The sequence below is a fragment of the Homo sapiens genome, chromosome 2, assembly GCF_000001405.40.
Source record: "Homo sapiens chromosome 2, GRCh38.p14 Primary Assembly".
In the NCBI taxonomy this organism is placed as follows: domain Eukaryota; kingdom Metazoa; phylum Chordata; class Mammalia; order Primates; family Hominidae; genus Homo; species Homo sapiens.
In genome coordinates this window covers 130,588,124-130,606,179 of record NC_000002.12, presented here as the reverse complement: position 1 = coordinate 130,606,179, position 18,056 = coordinate 130,588,124, and the positions used below count along the sequence as shown (strand labels likewise).

Genomic DNA, 18,056 nt, shown 5'->3' with positions numbered 1-18,056 from the left:
TTATCTTTGCGATTGTGAAGCTTTGACTTATTAATGAAGTGGCTTGAAATTCACCCAGGAAATTGCTGAGGTCTTATCAGAACTGAGTCCTTTGCTGGGTCTGCAGTCATTTGGATCAAGCATGACCTTATTCCCAGCAGGGTGGGCATTCAGAACTGCAGAGCTCTACTCCACACAGCCCCTCTGGGTCCCTTATTGGACCTGGGCCTGAAGAAAAGAAAATCTGTCTCTGCATTTTATGCAAAAGTACGGTTATTACTGGTTTGTTTTGTTGTTGTTGTTTGTTTTTTGTTTGTTTGTTTGTTTTGACAGAGTTTTGCTCTTGTCGCCCCGGCTGGAGTGCAATGGCATGATCTCGGCTCACTGCAACCTCTGCCTCCCGGGTTCCAGCGATTCTCCTGCTTCAGCCTCCTGAGTAGGAGGGATTACAGGCATGTGCCACCACGCCCGGCTAATTTTGTATTTTTAGTAGAAACAGGGTTTCACCATGTTGGCCAGGCTGGTCTCCAACTCCTGACCTCAAGTGATCTGCCTGCCTTGGCCTCCCATAGTGCTGGGATTACAGGTGTGAGCCACTGCACTTGGCCCGATTATTACTTTTTATCTTAAAACCTTGAAATTATCCCTCAAAAAAGGCTGTTCATGTTATTAAGTTTTTTGGTTTTTGTTTTTTTTTTTTTGTTTTTTTTTGAGACAGAGTCTCTCTCTGTTGTCCAGGCTGGAGTGCAGTGGCGCGATCTCGGCTCACTGCAAGCTCTGCCTCCTGGGTTCACGCCATTCTCCCGCCTCAGCCTCCCAAGCAGCTGGGACTACAAGCACCTGCCACCGCGCCCAGCTAATTTTTTGTATTGTTAGTAGAGACGGGGTTTCACCATGTTAGCCAAGATGGTCTCGATCTCCTGACCTCATGATCCGCCTGCCTCGGGCTCCCAAAGTGCTGGGATTACAGGCGTGAGCCACCACTCCTGGCCCATTTTATTAACTCTTAAATTGAGCTCAGTTCTCTATGTGAACTCAGTTGTCAATCATTAAAACTGGTAGGTTGGCTGTTTCAAGGCAAAATCTACTTCTTACTCCAAACTGGTTTCCTTTTCAAATTTAAACAGGGAGGAAGCCCCAGCCCAACTGGCTGGATCCCAGAGCTGCAGGTGACAACCCCCATGCACCCTCTGAGTCTCACTGTGAAATCCAGAACATTGGTGTGCAGTCTGGAGGGACTAGTGTTAAGCTCTTTATATATCAAGTGCTATCTATGAACAAATGAGGTTGATTCACAGAGTTTCATCAGCAGGGCATCATCCCCCAATAAAATACTAACTTTAAAGTTAATTCTTATTGTAGATCCATATAGAAGTGCTTCATATGGAAAATTACCTTTTAAGGGGCCCCAAAGACATGTGGCTATACCAAGAACAAAATGCAGGTTAGCAAAGCCCTGCATCAATGTTTATAATTAAGTGGTTCTTATTATATTGAGGCAAAATCCAGACTTTTGCTTCATCAAATTTTAGAATAAATCAGCTTTAACAAGTAGAATTAAATGAGATATAATCTAGTAAGAAGTTAGAAATTGAGAACAAAATCCAATAGAAAGGAAGATTGAGATATGAACTGAGGGGTTGATGGTGCTTACCGCTTGGGATTCTGAGGCAAAAACGCATCTCATCCCCAAATGGAATTTAGGCTGGATGGTCCAGGGTTCTGGAGCACTGTTGTTAATTCAGTTCCATCTAATACAGATTTGTGGGAACACAGCCTCATTTTTCAGACATCCTAAATATGAAAATATTCAGGAAGAAGATGTCATGATGTATGTAATTTACTTTAAAATTCTTCACTAAAAACAAAATAGCACATATGGCAAAACGAGTTTAATCTATGGGTGTGGCTAAGTCTCTGACAGGGCCCCAAAGAGTCCTTCCTGGCCTTCATGCCAATGTGCAACCTCCACCCTTAGAGTGGCCCTGGACTCACCTCTAACAGACAGCAGGTCACAAAAGGCGGGGACTCCCACTCTCTCACCCTCTCCCTCCTACCCTAGGGGAGGCCATATGTGCTGGTGCAGGGGAGAGGCCACCAGGCTGGAAGTGGAGGGTGTAGGGGCTGGGTGGAGGAAAGGGCAGGAAAGACCCTTCCAAGCCCAAATGCTTCTGGTCAAAGCACTCAGGCACTGCAGGGTCCTGGCTGTTTCCTGAATGCCACCCAGTTGAAAGGGAAGCTCCTGAGGGAGGGTGCTTCTCTGTGTCCCAGTCCTCAGGGCTCTGCAGCAGCACTGGCACTGCCATGGGAAGATAAAATGGTCTTGATGCCTGACCCAGCTCTGAGCCCAGAGGTGAGGACAGGCTGATTCCCCTCCTTGAGCCTGCACTCCCAGGAGGGCCCCTGCACGCCAGGCCTGTCCTTCAGCACGTGACTGCCTGCCTCCCTGAAAGATCCAATCTCTCTCTTTTTTTTTTGAGACAGAGTCTCACTCTGTCACCCAGGCTGGAGTGCAGTGGCACAATCTCAGCTCACTGCAACCTCCGCCTCCCAGATTCATGTGATTCATTGCTTTTGTTTGTTTGTTTGTTTCTTGAGACAGAGTCTCACTCTGTTACCCAGGCTGGAGTGCAGTGGCGCAATCTCAGCTCACTGCAACCCCGCCTCCCGGGTTCAAGTAATTCTCCTGCCTCAGCCTCCCAAGTAGCTGGGACTACAGGCACCCACCACCATGCCTGGCTAATTTTTGTACTTTTTTTTTAGTAGAGACAGGGTTTCACCATGTTAGCCAAAATGGTCTCCATCTCCTGACTTCGTGATCCACCCGCCTCAGCCTCCCAAAGTGTTGGGATTACTGGTGTGAGCCACCGTGCCCGGCCCCCATCTCTCTCTTAAAGTGCATTATTTTCAGCTTCCATTTTTACTTCAGGGAATTTTTGCTTTCTGCACCATGTTTTGTTCAAGTACATCTTTTCTGGCAGGTATTTTGTATGATTTAGAGACTAAAAGCATTGCTAATTATGCTAAATAAAAATTGGTATAATTAATAAAGGTCCTTATCTGAGCATAGCATCATCTGGAAAATGAAGTTTGGTCCTGGAGCCCGACTGCTTGCGGAGGTGATGTTCTGTCCAGCATGGTCACTGCCTGGAGGCCAAAATGAGCATCTCAGACTGTGCTGGGCTTTCTGAAGGGCCACACAACAGTTCAGATTCACCATTTGATTTAAAGGAACATCAGCCGGACTCACGCCATTGCCTTTGAGGACTGTCTACAGGGTCCCCCCGTGAATGAAAATGTCTGTGTAAGGACCCTGCGTAAAAGATGCTCTCTGTAATTCTAGAAAGCCACCAGTACAAATGCACTCTAAATGCAGCAAAAATTACTAAATTACATAACACATAACAATCATGGAAAAACAAAAACCTGGTGTATCTGTCAGCTCGGGCTGCCCTAACCAAATGCCGCAGGCTGGGAGGCCTAACCCACAGAGACATTTCCTCTCACAGTTCTGGAGGCTGGAAGTCTGAAATCAAGGCGTCACCAGATTTGGGTTCCCCGGAGTCCTCCTTTATCGGTATGTGGATAGCTACCATCTCACTGTGCTCTTCCAAAAGGTAGAAAAACCAAATATGCATCAACAGATGACAAACAGACAAAATGCGGTGGATGGGTGTTCGTGAAATATTATTCAGTCACAAAAGGAGTGAAGCTCTGATGTGCGCTACAGCACAGATGGACCTAAAAGACATTATGCTACGTGGCATAGGCCGGACGCAAAAGGAAAATACTGCATGATTCCCCTCACATGCAATCTCTAGATGAGGAAAATGTGTGAGACAGAAAGCAGCCCCACCCAAGAAGCCAGGAGGGTGGAGAAAGGTGTTTCTCACTCCCCACAGGTGCCGGGGACAGCCCACTTGGACAGCCATCGCTTTAAAGTCCTCCTCAGAGAATCCCTTCACACCTAATTTGTTGCAGAGCATTTTCCTTCATGATGGATGTGCTGAGAACATTGACGGGGCCTCCAGTCCTGGCACGGGGTTCCGGTCCCACACACTCTATGAGCCAGAACATTCCTCTGGAGTTTTGACGGGTGGGTCGGCTCCAGCCTTATCTGTTCACAGCTGATAAGGAGAAAAGAGGCCCTTTCCTGGCAGGGACCCACCTCCTCCCTTCCAGTGCTCCCAGGCAACCCTTCCAGCTGGGCCTCTTGATGGCAAACAGGGCAGCGCCTCTGCAGTAAAATGCAAAACCCTTTTATAAGACCTTTGAGTCAATGCGGCAACCTGGGACCGCTTTGTGTGGAGAGCAAGTGACAGTTTGGCGAAAATAGGTCATCAGAAGCTTTATTGCCTGGCCATCAGCCCTTCTCCTCAGAGCCGACTGCAGAGCTTAAGCAAACAGCTTAAGCACGTCGCACTGCTATTTCTTGCTTCTCAGTTCTGTCTTGCTGGCAAGACGTTTTTTTTTCCTAGTTTCCACTTATAAAGTGCAGATTTTCAAAATCTTACTCTACATATGAAATGTCATGATGTATTGGAGTTTTTAAAACTTCAAGAAAAAAGTTAGGGAGGAAACAAATGAAATAAAATTGGCAAAGGCTGATACTTAATTGTTGAACCTGGGTTTATTGGCTCATTCTACCAGCCTTTGTGTATGTTTGGAAATGTCCACTAAGGTAAAATTTAATAAATAAACTGTGGGGGAAAGTTAGATTTTAGAGGCTGCTTTTAAAGCTTTACTATTGTCAGAGAGGTTTGGTTTCAATATCACTCTGTAAAATGAACAGTTTTAAAACTTATTTATACAAAAAATACAATCATCTAGCTTATATACATCTTCATTTTAGTATACAAACAATTTAGCTCATGCAAAAGATTCTATTAACTTAAAGTCATAAAATGTACTTACTTTTACATATAATTAAATGATGCAATTAACCAGTAGTAACCACTGAGTTTAAAAGTGTATTTTTCGGCCGGGCGCAGTGGCTCATGCCAGTAATCCCAGCACTTTGGGAGGCCGAGGCGGGTGGATCACGAGGTCAGGAGATCAAGACCATCCTGGCTAACACGGTGAAACCCCGTCTCTACTAAAAATACAAAAAAATTAGCCAGGCATGGTGGTGGGCGCCTGTAGTCCCAGCTACTCGGGAGGCTGAGGCAGGAGAATGGTGTGAATCCGGGAGGCGGAGGTTGCAGTGAGCCGAGATTGCACCACTGCACTCCAGCCTGGGCCACAGAGCTAGACTCCGTCTCAAAAAAATAAAGTGTGTTTTTCACCGGACACGGTGGGTTTGTGCCTGTAATCCCAGCACTTTGGGAGGCAGAGGCAGGAGGATCGCTTAAGGCCAGAAGTTAGAGGACAGCCTGGGAAACATAGCAAGATCCCTATCTCTACAAAATAAAAAAAAAATTAGCTGGGCATAGGGGCGCGAGCCTGTAGTCCTAGCCACTCAGAGGCTGGGGTAGGAGGATCACTTAAGCCCAGAAGTTCGAGGATGTGGTGAGCTATGATCGCCCACTGCACTCCAGCCTGGCTGACAGAGTGACACTTTGCCTCTAAAAAACAAAATTAACAAGGTGTTTGTCTCATGACTTACAGCACTTACAGATGCTTGATGAAGTCCTGGGGCACCTTCCTCCATGTGCTCTGCCCACTCGGGTCTGCTGGCCTTGACCTGGTCCTTGCAGCCCACAGGACCCATTGCTGGGAGGCCCCCCAGGGTAGCCCGGTCCTCCAATTTCCTATTGCTTTATTTAACAGCCTCTTTAATAAACCTCACACGTAAAGATGTAAGAAATTAAATCACCATTAAAGACTATTTCAGCCTTGGAGGAAGAATACTATTTTTAGAAATGAGTTTTTATATTAAAATCACAGAACAATTTGCAACACTGGGTTGCAAAGTGTCTTCTTTAGTGCTGATAAAAGGGGCTCAGTCCCTATTCTGGTAGTTAGAAAAGCAGATTTAGAAGGTGCTAGAAAATACCCCAAATCACTCCTTCCTTGGGTTCCGTTTGGATTCAGCAGGCTCCTCTGGCGATGGGCGGGCGCCGCAGTTGCGCCTGTGCTCCTAAGGGCTCGCCTTAAATACCTGTGGGTATCTCCTCATCATATCGGTGCCATTCATGTTTCTCAGAGATCTAACTGCCAAAGGACTTAAACTCTCTAAGCCTCCCTTTCTCTCTTTTCACGTGGGGGATAATAATAGTGCCTACCCTAGAGGGTCCTATAGTAAATGGGGGCAGTGCCCCTCCCCCACTTGCTGGGCACAGAGAAGAGGCTCCATCTGCAGAGTAAGGGGGCCTCTCTTAAAGCAGGGGTGACGTGCTTTCCCTTATCCTCGTGTTCCCCACTCAGGGCGGCTGGGACCCCAGGCTGTTGCCTGTGCCCCACACAGGAGCTCCCTCTCCCACAGGGCCCCTCACCATCTCCCAGTACAAGTAGTATGCAGTAGAAAATCTCCACCTTCCTGTGAAAGCTTTTTGTTCATGTTGGGATTTTTTTTTTTTTCCAGTGAGAAAATGGCTCGTCACCTTGGATACCAATGTTTTACATCAGGGATTGGTCACTCCTGCTGCTGTCAGCACTGTAAACACTGCTGGGGGGAGTCAGCCCAAGTCCCCACCCCCCAGCCAGGTCTCATAGAGGGAATTGTTCTTCAGGCTCGGAGGGGCCTGCCTGTCACTGCGCCCCCGACCCTAGCTCAGGGACTGCAGAACTCAAGATACCATCCCGTTTCTCCTGGCTGAGGAAGGGAAGGGAACATCCACATCTTCTGTACTCGTCCATTCTGTGTCCCCGGGGCCTGGAGTAAAGACACCTTCAAATGCAGAGACTCTTCAGATTCAGCTTTCCTGGAAACTGATCTTCAATGCACTAAGAGAAGGAGACTCTCAAACCAAAAATGACCTGGAGGCACCATGTCAGGTAAGGACAGAGGTCATGAGATCTTAGAGCCAAGAAGGGGTCTTAAGAGCCTCAGAATAAATCGTAGTGCATGAGCCACTGTTCATTAAAGGAGGTGTACACTTTCTGTCTCAAAATCTTTCTAAGCCATAGCAAAATTAACAAAAACCTACAAGTTACAAAATGATTGCCTTATTCATTATAATTATTTTACATAATTTTATATTTATATATAATGATGGCATTGTATTTTTATGTGTATGTGAATTTCTGCTTATACTTCTAAAGATACTTTCAACTTCAATGATTTTCTTTAAATATTCTAGGCTTCTGTTTACGGTCAGTTTGGCATTACAGATCATCAATTTGGGAAACAGTAAGAAACATTTTATTCATAATTTCAGTTTTAATTGCATAAAATATTTGTTTCTCAATCATTATCAGTCTCACATTTTCAATATTTTTTAAAGGCTATCAAAGAGAGAAACATAACGGCGGTAGAGAGGAAGTCACCAAGGTTGCCACTCAGAAGCACCGACAGTCACCGCTCAACTGGACCTCCAGTCATTTCGGAGAGGTGACTGGGAGCGCCGAGGGCTGGGGGCCGGAGGAGCCGCTCCCCTACTCCCGGGCTTTCGGAGAGGGTAAGTTGCAGCGCTGCCCACAAAATCCGGGGCGTCATCTCAGTCTGCGGACTCAGAGTTTAGGACCTGAGAATATGTAGGATAAATTCAGGATAAAATCCAAGGAGAGCATTTTGTTATCTTCAAATGATGATGCACTTACAAAGCTATAAAGCTAGAGACAGTTCCTAGTGAGGTGTTAAAAAGCTTTACTCTTTCATTGGTAAAACGTTGTATTTGCTCTTCAATGGTTATTTTGCTGCAGATCTAGAGAACTGTGATTTAAATGTGTTGAAAATAAATATCCCAAGCCAAGATAACAGCGGACTCTTGCTTGGCTTCTCCCAGACACCGCGTCCCCAGGAGGCCCCTCGCCGGTGGGTTTGGCGTCATCACACCCGTGGGTGGTCCCGCCCAGGAGGCCTGTGCTTAATCACTGTCAGGTGAAGCCACAGCCAGAGGTTAACATGTGAAAGGAAGGGAGAGAGCAAGCCCGGCTTGCAGGCCGCACCCCTGATAGTTTGTTTCACATCCCTAACAAGCAGGGTTTACCTGAGCAAACACACTTGGCTGGAGGCTGATTTTACTGCCTCCCCTGGGCGGCCACGTTCGGCCCCGTCCCTGCGGGGAGGGCCACGGGCCGCGGGGGGCGCGGGGCTGACGCCCGGGTGACCCCGCAGGTGCGTCCGCGCGGCCGCGCTGCTGCAGGAACGGCGGTACCTGCGTGCTGGGCAGCTTCTGCGTGTGCCCGGCCCACTTCACCGGCCGCTACTGCGAGCATGACCAGAGGCGCAGGTGGGCACAGGGGTGCGCGGGGTGGGGACGGGGGTGGGCGCCGGGTGAGGGACCTGCGGGTCTGGGGGCGCGGGAGTAGGCGTCAGGAGAGGGGCGCGCGGGTGCGGGGGCGCGGGAGTGGGCGCCGGGCGATGGGCGCGCGGGTTGGGGGGCGCGGGAGTTGGCGCCGGGGGAGGGATGCGCGGGTGGGGGAGCGGCGCAGGAGTGGGCGCCGGGCGAGGGGCGCGCGGGCCACCGCATTGATGCAGGTCCCCGTCTTCTCAGTGAATGCGGCGCCCTGGAGCACGGAGCCTGGACCCTCCGCGCCTGCCACCTCTGCAGGTGCATCTTCGGGGCCCTGCACTGCCTCCCCCTCCAGACGCCTGACCGCTGTGGTAAGAGGCCCTGTGATTCGGTCCCCAGCTCACCCCCGCACGCGGTTGCGCCTTCATTGCGGCTCACCCTCCATACCGATCCACAGTGCATCTTCCAGTGCCAGGCCACATAGCATTTAGCAAAGTAGATCGATTCATCATTGAAGAAAGTCGCATTCATTGGGAATCATATAGTGAATTAAATTTTGTTTTGAAGTTCTCATATCCAGATTGCTGAGTTTAAAAATGATTTCCAAACCATGTCCTCACATGTCCGTTTCAGTGAGCAGAATTTCAGGAGATGACCAGCTGGTAATCGGAGAGGAAGCTGGGAGACAAGTTAGCTGCGTAAATCTCAGGTGGTTTCCCTGCACTAGGCCAGCACCATCTGCTCAGCTGTGGGACCAGCAGGGACACAGGCAGGAGCCGCATTTCCCTCTGGAATCCTGTGCCTTCTCTCCTCTCCTCTTTGGTGATCACTGGCTGGGGCTAGCAATGGAGGGCACAGCTAGTGAAGGCCCAGCCTCTTGGCCCCAGCCCGAGCTCTGCCCTCTCCCAGGCCCGGGTGGGCTGGTGGTGCAGTGTCCAGAGGCACACCTGATGAAGCCAAGGCCCCTGATCCACTCTCCTGCCCCCTCCCTCCACTTCAGTCAGCCCTGGGCACCTCCATCTGTCAAAGAGCACAGCCCCGCAACCCCACTTCCCACCTGTCGCTCTCAGGCCGTCCTGCTAGGGCTGCATGGAGGGCAGCACCAGTGGCCCAAAGATCTTCAACCCGGCTCCCCCAGCCTCCCTCTTGCTCTTGGAGGCCCACAATGGAGGAGTACACAATGCATGCTTAGCTCTCCTTCACCTTCCTGTCCTCTCTTCTCTCCCTGGTAGGACCAGCAGTCAAGGGACACTCTTAATAGAGGCACAGCCCCCAACCCCACTTCCCACCCTGCTCCCTTCTCCTCAGCTAGCTCTGCATGGTGCCAGCAGGGAAGAGCACTCCCCGCCTGCCGTGCAGACCACATTTTCCCAAAGCACCCCCTCTTCTATGTGTGCTCCTTTTGCTGGGCCTCTGCCTCTGAAGTCACCAGCTGCTCCTCTATGCCCTAGAGACAGGAGGACACAGATTTCATGGACAGGCATCAGAATCACAGGGGGTGCTTGTGTGGTCCTCACAGATGAAGTCAGTTCCCACCTGCCATTAGGCCGCCCCAGCAGGAATGTGGGGAAGGGACTAGCTGTCATGACTTCCAGGATATCTGGTCATGATTTTACATTCTTGGAAACATCCAGTGCTGGGACTGCTATTTGCCAAGGACAATGATAATGGCTCTGAAAATGTGGCCTCTGTTCATCAAAGCTAGACAAAATAGTGCAGTCATCCTTCAGAGTCATCTGTCAGGTGCAGAGAGGGCAGTAACACCTTTGTGTTCTTTTACCCATTCATCCTGCTTCAAGGCAAGTTACAGTGATGCTGGTGATGGCTGTGCTGATGGTGGTTATGATGACTTGAAGTTTGACAACAGTGATGATAGATGGAACATCCTCCGTGGCAGGTGCCATTGCAATAGGGCAAGCTCTTCTGGGTGTTACAGCATGAGAGGAGCCCTCAGTGTATTTCAGGCACTTTATATACCCATTATCCCATTTAACTCTTATGAAAGCCAATGAAGTAGGTACACCTTTTACATTTGGGGAAGCTGAGACACAGAGAGATCAACTCCTACAGATAGTAAACAGGGTCTGATTCTTTACCTTGTGCCATTCCTGTAGTCTTTTTTTTTTTGAGATGGAGTCTCACTCTGTCGCCCGGGCTGGGGTGCAGTGGCGCAGTCTCGGCTCACTGCAAGCTCCACCTCCAGGGTTCATGCCATTCTCCTGCCTCAGCTTCCTGAGTAGCTGGGACTACAGGCACCTGCCACCACGCCCAGCTAACTTTTTTTATTTTTTATTTTTAGTAGAGACGGGGTTTAACCATGTTAGCCAGGATGGTCTCGATCTCCTGACCTTGTGATCCGCCCACCTCAGCCTCCCAAAGTGCTGGGATTACAGGCGTGAGCCACCGTGCCCGGCCCATTCTTGTACTCTTTCTATAAGAGTAATTATCAATATGACTGGGTACAGTGGCTCATGCCTATAATCCCAGCACTCTAGGAGGCTTAGGTGGGAAGATTGCTTGAGGCCAGGAGTTCGAGAACGGCCTGGGCAATATAGCAAGACCTGTCTCTACAAAAAATTAGCCAGGTGTGGTGACGAGCACCTCTGGTCCCAACTACTTGGGAGGCTGAGAGGCAAAAGGATCACTTGAGCCTAGGAGTGTGAGGTTACAGTGAGCTATGATTGCACCACTGCACTCCAACCTGGGTGACAGAGCGAGACCCTGTCTCTTAAAAAGAAAAGAAAGAATAAATATGAAACAAATGAAGATTTTTTTATAGTGTTGTATAGAATATAGAAAATTTGGTCATGTTCCAAAGCCAACAGCACAGTAATAGATAAGTAAATGTTTTAAATCCTTTAATGGGAGATTATGATGGTTTTGAAGAGTATGTGGAAGATAGAATATGTTGCTACAAAAGCATGGCTGCTGCAGGGACTCTCTGTCTGGGGATCACCAAGAGCCCTCCTTGCTCTGACTGATGCTCTGCAGGTCCAAGAATGAAAAGCTTCCATGTAGCAGGGACTTTTGCGCAGTCCTGAGCTAGCCAGGATCTCCTTGTTAGTCTAAGGGGGTGGTTCTTTCTACTGTGGCCCTAAAGCATCAAGTATCAGTTTTCACAAGCATCAAGAGACAGTTTACTACTCTAAAATTCAGAGTCTGTGGAATGACACAGTGATGTAGCCAACTCAGGTGTCTTCAGAGATGGGCAGGTAACACGGAAGTGAGATGGGGCCCGGTGAAGACTCACCTCACTGCTGCAAACTCATTTTTAAACATGCCATTCTGGCAAAAACCCACCAACCAACCAACAAGCAAACAAACATCCGTGGGCCAGACCCAGTCTACAGACCTCTGGGATGCCATTGGAATGGCTCTCACAGGTCCTGGCACCAGCTGACTCTGAGCCTGTAAGCATACACCCTGTGTCCAGCCCTCCTGTTTCCTTCCCTCAGGGGAAGGCCAGCACGGACCCAGTACTGCTGACCCCTTTCTCACCTGAATAGCTTCACATGCTGTGAGCGCCTGTCTTAGCACCAGCTTCTCTGGAGCCTCGTCTGAGCCTAGACGTTAGCATTCCTGTTTGGGGATTCTGGCACCCCTGGAACAATCCTCTCTCCCAAGGTGGGGGGTGCTATGGGGAGGTGGCACCCAAGCCTGGAGTGAGCCTGACCTGGCCAATGCTACCACAGCCTACCTGTGGACAGGTGTAGAGTGGTTCTTGCTGCAGGTGTTCATCTGCATCATTCCTTGTTAATTTCCAGTTTCATGCTCATGCCAGGTTCCCAAGTCCAGAGGACATCTCCTGGAGGTATAGCAGAGGGCAGGGCAGGCCTGGTCAGGGGGCAGGGAGGTGGCTGGCCTTTGCTCAGTGGCCCCGGGGAGAGGATCCCTGTAGTTGGGCATGCTCTTCTACCAGCCTGACCCCACTCCAAGACAGGCCTGGACTCGCTTGTGAGAATGTTCTAGTGGTGCTGGTTGCCATGCCTGCAAGGTTGTCCGCTTCACATGGCAACCACCACCCAGGGCATTAGCCAAGACCCTGCCCAGCCCCACCACTCCAGAGATTCCCATTCCGCTGTTCTGGGCTGGGGTCCCAGCTACACAAAGACCAAGGCTCAGGGACCCTCAGGGTTCAGCATGAATGAAGCCTGCTGTGAGGGGTGGGGAGGGGACACAGGGACTAGGCGTTCAGGCATGGCCTCCTATGACCAGCGGTGTGGGCGAGGGGGCCGGCAGGTGAGTCCCATGGGGCGCGGCGCCACTCACAGGGCTAGGCCTCCTCAGAACAGCAGCCAGACTTTGGATGGCTGCACCCTCCTGCTCTATCAGCTGTCCCTCGTCAAAGAAATATTTCGAGCACTCATTTGGGGAAAAGTGGAACCTTTGTTGCAGCAGACGGAAGCGAGCTGATTTATATACTATAGCACTGTTTTAAATCGGGTCTATGTGCCCCATCGCTCAATGACCTGGAGCGGGACTCCCTGAAAGGTCACGGGCCAAATGAAAAAGACGGAAGGGCTGTTCTTCGTTCCCCCTTTAAACACAGTACTGTAATTCTCCTTCAGCTCTCCGAGTTCTACAAACATTTAGAGGCTTCCCTCTGTGCAGCCGGCCGGGACTGGCCTCCGCACACCTCACCCTGCAGCGCGTCCCAGGGACAGAGCCTAGTGAGGGCGCAGGAGAAAAGGGCCTGCAGAAGGCAGGGAGCAGGCGTTTCTATTGCACTCTCTCAAACCGAGCCGGAACACTTTATTTCATACATCTCCGGTTTCTCTGTTTTTCCAGACCCGAAAGACTTCCTGGCCTCCCACGCTCACGGGCCGAGCGCCGGGGGCGCGCCCAGCCTGCTACTCTTGCTGCCCTGCGCACTCCTGCACCGCCTCCTGCGCCCGGATGCGCCCGCGCACCCTCGGTCCCTGGTCCCTTCCGTCCTCCAGCGGGAGCGGCGCCCCTGCGGAAGGCCGGGACTTGGGCATCGCCTTTAATTTTCTATGTTGTAAATAATAGATGTGTTTAGTTTACCGTAAGCTGAAGCACTGGGTGAATATTTTTATTGGGTAATAAATATTTTCATGAAAGCGCCTTTGGCTCCAGATCCTTGGGAGAGGGACACGTGTGTCCCCAGCACCACTGTGACCGGTAGGTAGAGACAGCAGAACAACAGCGAGAAGGAGCCAAAGCTGGAGCCAGAAAGCCTGGCACCGCCACCTTCCCCTGACAGTTAGCACCTTCCTTTCACAACATCTCCCTTAAGGGGGAAGCGTCTGCTGTGGAACCCACCGCAAGGCAACGCAGGCAGAGTTCAGCCTGAAGAGCGCCAGGCCAGCCTCCTCTGTCTTCCGAGCACCGCTTCTCAGGTCGCTTCCCAATCTGAGGAGGCTGTCGTGTCCACAACCAGTCCAGGGGGATGTGCGCCACTAGCTGAGGACGCCAGGCCCGGCGACACCACAAAGGCTTGGCCATGCGGAATGTGCCCTCAAGAGCACACACTTCGGGTAGAGGGCACTTGCATTGAGCTCTTCAGCTTTTTAAATCCACTGTAGTTCATGAGCCTGTGTGACATAATTACTTTTACATTTTATATTGTCAATTAGTTTATTGGCATTTTCAATCTTTTCAACTATTGGCTATGAAAATATGAATTTAACGTAACATTCAAATGAGTATTAAAGAAAAATAAAGTAGAACTTCATTAGAGGGCTGGCTTGGAGTTCATTGGTTCATGAGAAAAATAATTATTCAAGTATTGAGACATAAATATTTCTAGGCATTAATATTTTTTGAGACCCGGCGCGGGGGCTCACGCCTGTAATCTCAGCACTTTGGGAGGCCGAGGTGGGCGGATCACGAGGTCAGGAGATCGAGACCATCCTGGCTAACACGGTGAAACCCCGTCTCTACTAAAAATACAAAAAAAAAAAAAAAATTAGCTGGGCGTGGTGGCGGGCGCCTGTAGTCCTAGCTACTTGGGAGGCTGAGGCAGAATGGTGTGAGTGAACCCGGGAAGCGCAGCTCGCAGTGAGCCGAGATTGCGCCACTGCACTCCAGCCTGGGCGACAGAGCGAGACTCCGTCTCAAAAATATATATATATTTATACCAAAGTTGTTTCAAGTGTGTTCTGAGCAGTACCTTTCCTTATTTCAGTTTATTGTAGGAATCAACAAGTGATGAACTTTGCAAATTAGCCTAAGAGCTTGATGAATATGTATATGCTATTCATAAAATTTGTGTTTACAAAATGCCTATTTTTTACAACACTGGCAGGCAAAAAAGACACTGCCTTATTTTCAGTAGGTGCACTTAGGAAATGGAACTTGAGAGGTCACAGTTGTGGTTAAAAGGAAAACTGAGAACTGTTCAATATTAGTATGAATAGGGTATAAATACGTTTTAATTAGAAAATTAGAAATCAGGCTCTATGGATTTCTCTACTAGAATACTAGAATGGATCCTTCTAGTGGAATGATTCTTGATTATAAGCAAGAAAGCCAAAGTTACCATTTATCTGTCTACTAACTGAGAAGCCCTTAAGTACCTAGCTCTGAAAAGACAAGGAGAATTTGAAGATAAAAGGCATTTTCTTTTGGCAGCCCAGGCGTCCAGGGAGACAGTTAAAAAGGAGAAACTTCTCAGGAGAGAAAAGAGCAATGCTGGGCTCATGGCTGTTAGCTTCACATAAATGTGTCCCAGATCTTATCTGTCCCCCGCAGTCGAGGAGGAGAGATAGAGAAATCCCCCTAGGCCACTATCTGCCAGCACCCCTTGCTGGGAAGAGCCTGTTCACACCTCTGGCTTTGCTCACCCGGATGGAGGGAGGGCATCTCCCTTCCCAGAGCAGTCCCCAGCTGTGTCCATTCTGCAGTGTTTATAGAAGCTGCCCTTTCCTTGCCAGCTTAGCCCTGGCTCAGTCATCCCCCACACATCCCAGAAGAGCAAAATCTGTCCTCACATCCCCTCTCCGAGGGAGCCACTCACCAGCGACACTGGGAGGAGACGCAGGGGATGCATAAGGACTTGTACCAGCACAGGGCTGGTATGTTCAGCCCATTCCTATGTTGGGGTTTAACTTCGGAGCCCCAGCGAATGCCTGCCGGCTGAGGGGCACTCTTGTTCCTTTCAGCCACATCACAATTTCCCCACTCTAGCCTAGAACCAAATCGACTCTTCTGGCTGTGAGCGTTCAAAAGCAGTCTCTGGATATTTTCCCAGTTTCCATTGTCTGCAAAGCCACTCTGGCACATACAGCCATACATCACACCACAAAAGTTTCTGGGAGTGACTTTTCCACAGAATTCAGTTTTGAGTATTTAAAATTAAGTTTGATAAGCTTTCTATGCGCAGGCACTTATCTCACTTGGACTGTCTGTTATAGGGAAAGGAAAACAAGGGGCTGTGTCTCCCATGGTTACAGCTGCTCGACTCACATTGATCTGGCCAGCACCTGGACCCCTTCAGAACCCCAGCACAGTACTAAGGAAGTTTGTGGCCACAGAGCTAGCTGGATCCCCAGGAGCTGAGTGCTGCCAAGTGAGTGGGGCCCTAGGCTGGGAAATGTCTGCAGTACTCCCAGGGGAAGGATGTGCTGCTCAGTGTGTAAGAACTGGCGCTCCAGAAACAAAACAGGTGCATCAGTATGCTGATATCACTTGTTTTTTGTTTTTGTTTTTTTATTTTTTATTTTTTGAGATGGAATCACGCTTTGTCGCCCAGGCTGGAAGTGCAGTGGTGCGATCTCGGCTCATTGCAAACTCCACCTCCCGGGTTCACACCATTCTCCTGCCTCAGCCTCCCAAGTAGCTGGGACTACAGGCACCCGCCACCATGCCCGGCTAACTTTGTGTATTTTTAGTAGAGACGGGGTTTCACTGTGTTAGCCAGGATGGTCTCGATCTCCTGACCTCGTGATCCACCCGCCTCGGCCTCCCTAAGTGCTGGGTGGGATTACAGGCCTGAGCCTCTGCACCCGGCCGATATCACTTTATTATAAGTTTTACTGATATAAAGTACATTATAGCACAGAATTTCAAGTAACAACAAAATATACAGTACTCTTTACTCCATGTAGCCTATATGCTTTTGTTGATTTTTATCAGATCTTCTATCTGTACTCAAACCTATGGTTGTGATGCAACCATGATTTGACAAGTGGAGTTGCATCCCAACTCACTGACTCTCCAACAAATTTATTGTCATTAAATCTGAAATGTGATCTACTGTAGAACTATGTCTAATCCTTATACAAATTATGTTAATTACCTGAAACAGCTAAACTCTGGCACTACATATGTGAGAACATTACTAGTTTGTTCGCGAGTGATTTATTTGCCGAGTCAGTTCGTTTTCAAATGAGATTCGTTTTAACCAGATATGGTAAGAATGCAGACCTGGAAATGATGTCAAGGAGGAAAAAGTGTGTATACTCACTTAGAAACAGGAGGCGTGTCATGCAGGGCCACATGGGGCAGCCCCAGGGTGGGCCGGGAGGCAGAGGGAGTGGGCACTGTGGGCAGGAGCCTGTACTGTGGCTTCTGTGGGAAGGAGTAGGTGAGGCAGGGGCAGATGGTGTAGGGTTGGCTAGTGAGTCATTTCTGCAGGCTTCAGGGCACAGGGGCTGTCCCTAGTTGCCTGGTACATTTTCCCCTTGCTCCCTTTGCTTCCTGACCAACCCTGGTGCCTCTCCATGTGGCCCTGTGTGGGGTGGGGTGGACTGTCCTCCTGCCCTATGAATATAATAAACTATCTTTTCATCATTTCCATGTCTGCATTCTTGTCCTACCTAAATAACAATAAAACCCACATTTAAAAACAAATAGGCAAGAGCTGTTCACACCATTAGAACCGCCATGGACTAAGGAGCCACTGAGGCCTTGCTTCTGGGCTGTCCTTGCTAAAGCTCCCCTGATGCTGGTGGGGTGACTTTCTGTCTCGTTGGCGGGGCACACCCCAGAGCCGAGACGAGGATGATGAGTAACAAGCATCTGCTCGGACCCAGCATTGTGCTCAGCAGCCTGCTGCTGCCTCTGAGGTTTACTCTCTGGCAAGGACACCTCAGTAAACCTAGGGGGAAGTCTCATCACCACCCAGAACATGCTCACTGGGTTCTAAACGGACACACCCTGCTTCAGAATCTGTCACGGAATCAATGACTTCATTTAATAATGAATCTCAGGCGGGGTGCAGTGGCTCACGCCTGTAATCCCTGCACTTTGGGAGGCCGAGGCGGGTGGATCACAAGGTCAGGAGTTCGAGACCAGCCTGGCCAACATGGTGAAACCCCGACTCTACTAAAAATACAAAAAAAAAAAAAAAAAAAATCAGCCGGGTGTGGTGGCAAATGCCTGTAATGTCAGCTACTCCAGAGGCTGAGGCAGGAGAATTGCTTGAACCGGGGAGGCGGAGGTTGCAGTGAGCAGAGATTGTGCCACTGCACTCCAGCCTGGACGACAAAGCTAGACTCTGTCTCAAAAAAAAATAATAGGCCAGGCGCTGTGGCTCACGCCTGTAATCCCAGCACTTTGGGAGGCCGAGGTGGGCGGATCACGAGGTCAGGAGATCGAGACCATCCTGGCTAACATGGTTAAACCCCGTCTCTACTAAAAATGCACAAAATTAGCCGGGCATGGTGGCAGGCGCCTGTAGTCCTAGCTACTCGGGAGGCTGAGGTGGGAGAATGGCGTGAACCCAGGAAGCAGAGCTTGCAGTGAGCCAAGCTCGGCCACTGCACTCCATCCAGCCTG

General features: G+C 49.7%; 1 protein-coding gene across 4 annotated transcripts, besides 2 other annotated features; it reads left to right on the top strand.

Moving 5' to 3' along the window:
- CFC1 (cryptic, EGF-CFC family member 1) lies at positions 6,605 to 14,015 on the top strand. Of its 4 annotated transcripts, NM_032545.4 has the most exons (6): positions 6,605 to 6,915; positions 7,221 to 7,270; positions 7,365 to 7,538; positions 8,198 to 8,312; positions 8,577 to 8,686; positions 13,104 to 14,015. In NM_032545.4, exons 1-6 carry the CDS (start codon positions 6,893 to 6,895, stop codon positions 13,301 to 13,303), a joined length of 672 nt encoding a protein of 223 aa, NP_115934.1. In that variant the 5' UTR covers positions 6,605 to 6,892; the 3' UTR covers positions 13,304 to 14,015. The 4 variants fall into 4 exon arrangements, with proteins under 4 accessions (NP_115934.1, NP_001257349.1, NP_001257350.1 ...); NM_001270420.2 differs by lacking the exon at positions 8,198 to 8,312; NM_001270421.2 differs by lacking the exons at positions 8,198 to 8,312; positions 8,577 to 8,686.
- Positions 7,835 to 8,335: an enhancer, noted in NCBI's record as "H3K4me1 hESC enhancer chr2:131355418-131355918 (GRCh37/hg19 assembly coordinates)". NCBI's record gives its function as "activates a minimal SCP1, AML or CMV promoter by ChIP-STARR-seq in naive H9 embryonic stem cells {active_cell/tissue: H9 hESC(naive)}" and the evidence as "EXISTENCE:reporter gene assay evidence [ECO:0000049][PMID:30033119]".
- Positions 12,496 to 12,996: an enhancer, noted in NCBI's record as "H3K4me1 hESC enhancer chr2:131350757-131351257 (GRCh37/hg19 assembly coordinates)". NCBI's record gives its function as "activates a minimal SCP1, AML or CMV promoter by ChIP-STARR-seq in primed H9 embryonic stem cells {active_cell/tissue: H9 hESC(primed)}" and the evidence as "EXISTENCE:reporter gene assay evidence [ECO:0000049][PMID:30033119]".

What these genes read in the sequence shown, in the direction of transcription:
- CFC1 (NM_032545.4), top strand. Translation starts at nt 6,893, where the DNA reads ATGACCTGGAGGCACCATGTCAG. An exon ending in ACCTGGAGGCACCATGTCAG is followed by an intron (nt 6,916 to 7,220) that starts GTAAGGACAGAG and finishes TAAATATTCTAG; the next exon opens with GCTTCTGTTTACGGTCAGTT. An exon ending in GAGCATGACCAGAGGCGCAG is followed by an intron (nt 8,313 to 8,576) that starts GTGGGCACAGGG and finishes CCGTCTTCTCAG; the next exon opens with TGAATGCGGCGCCCTGGAGC.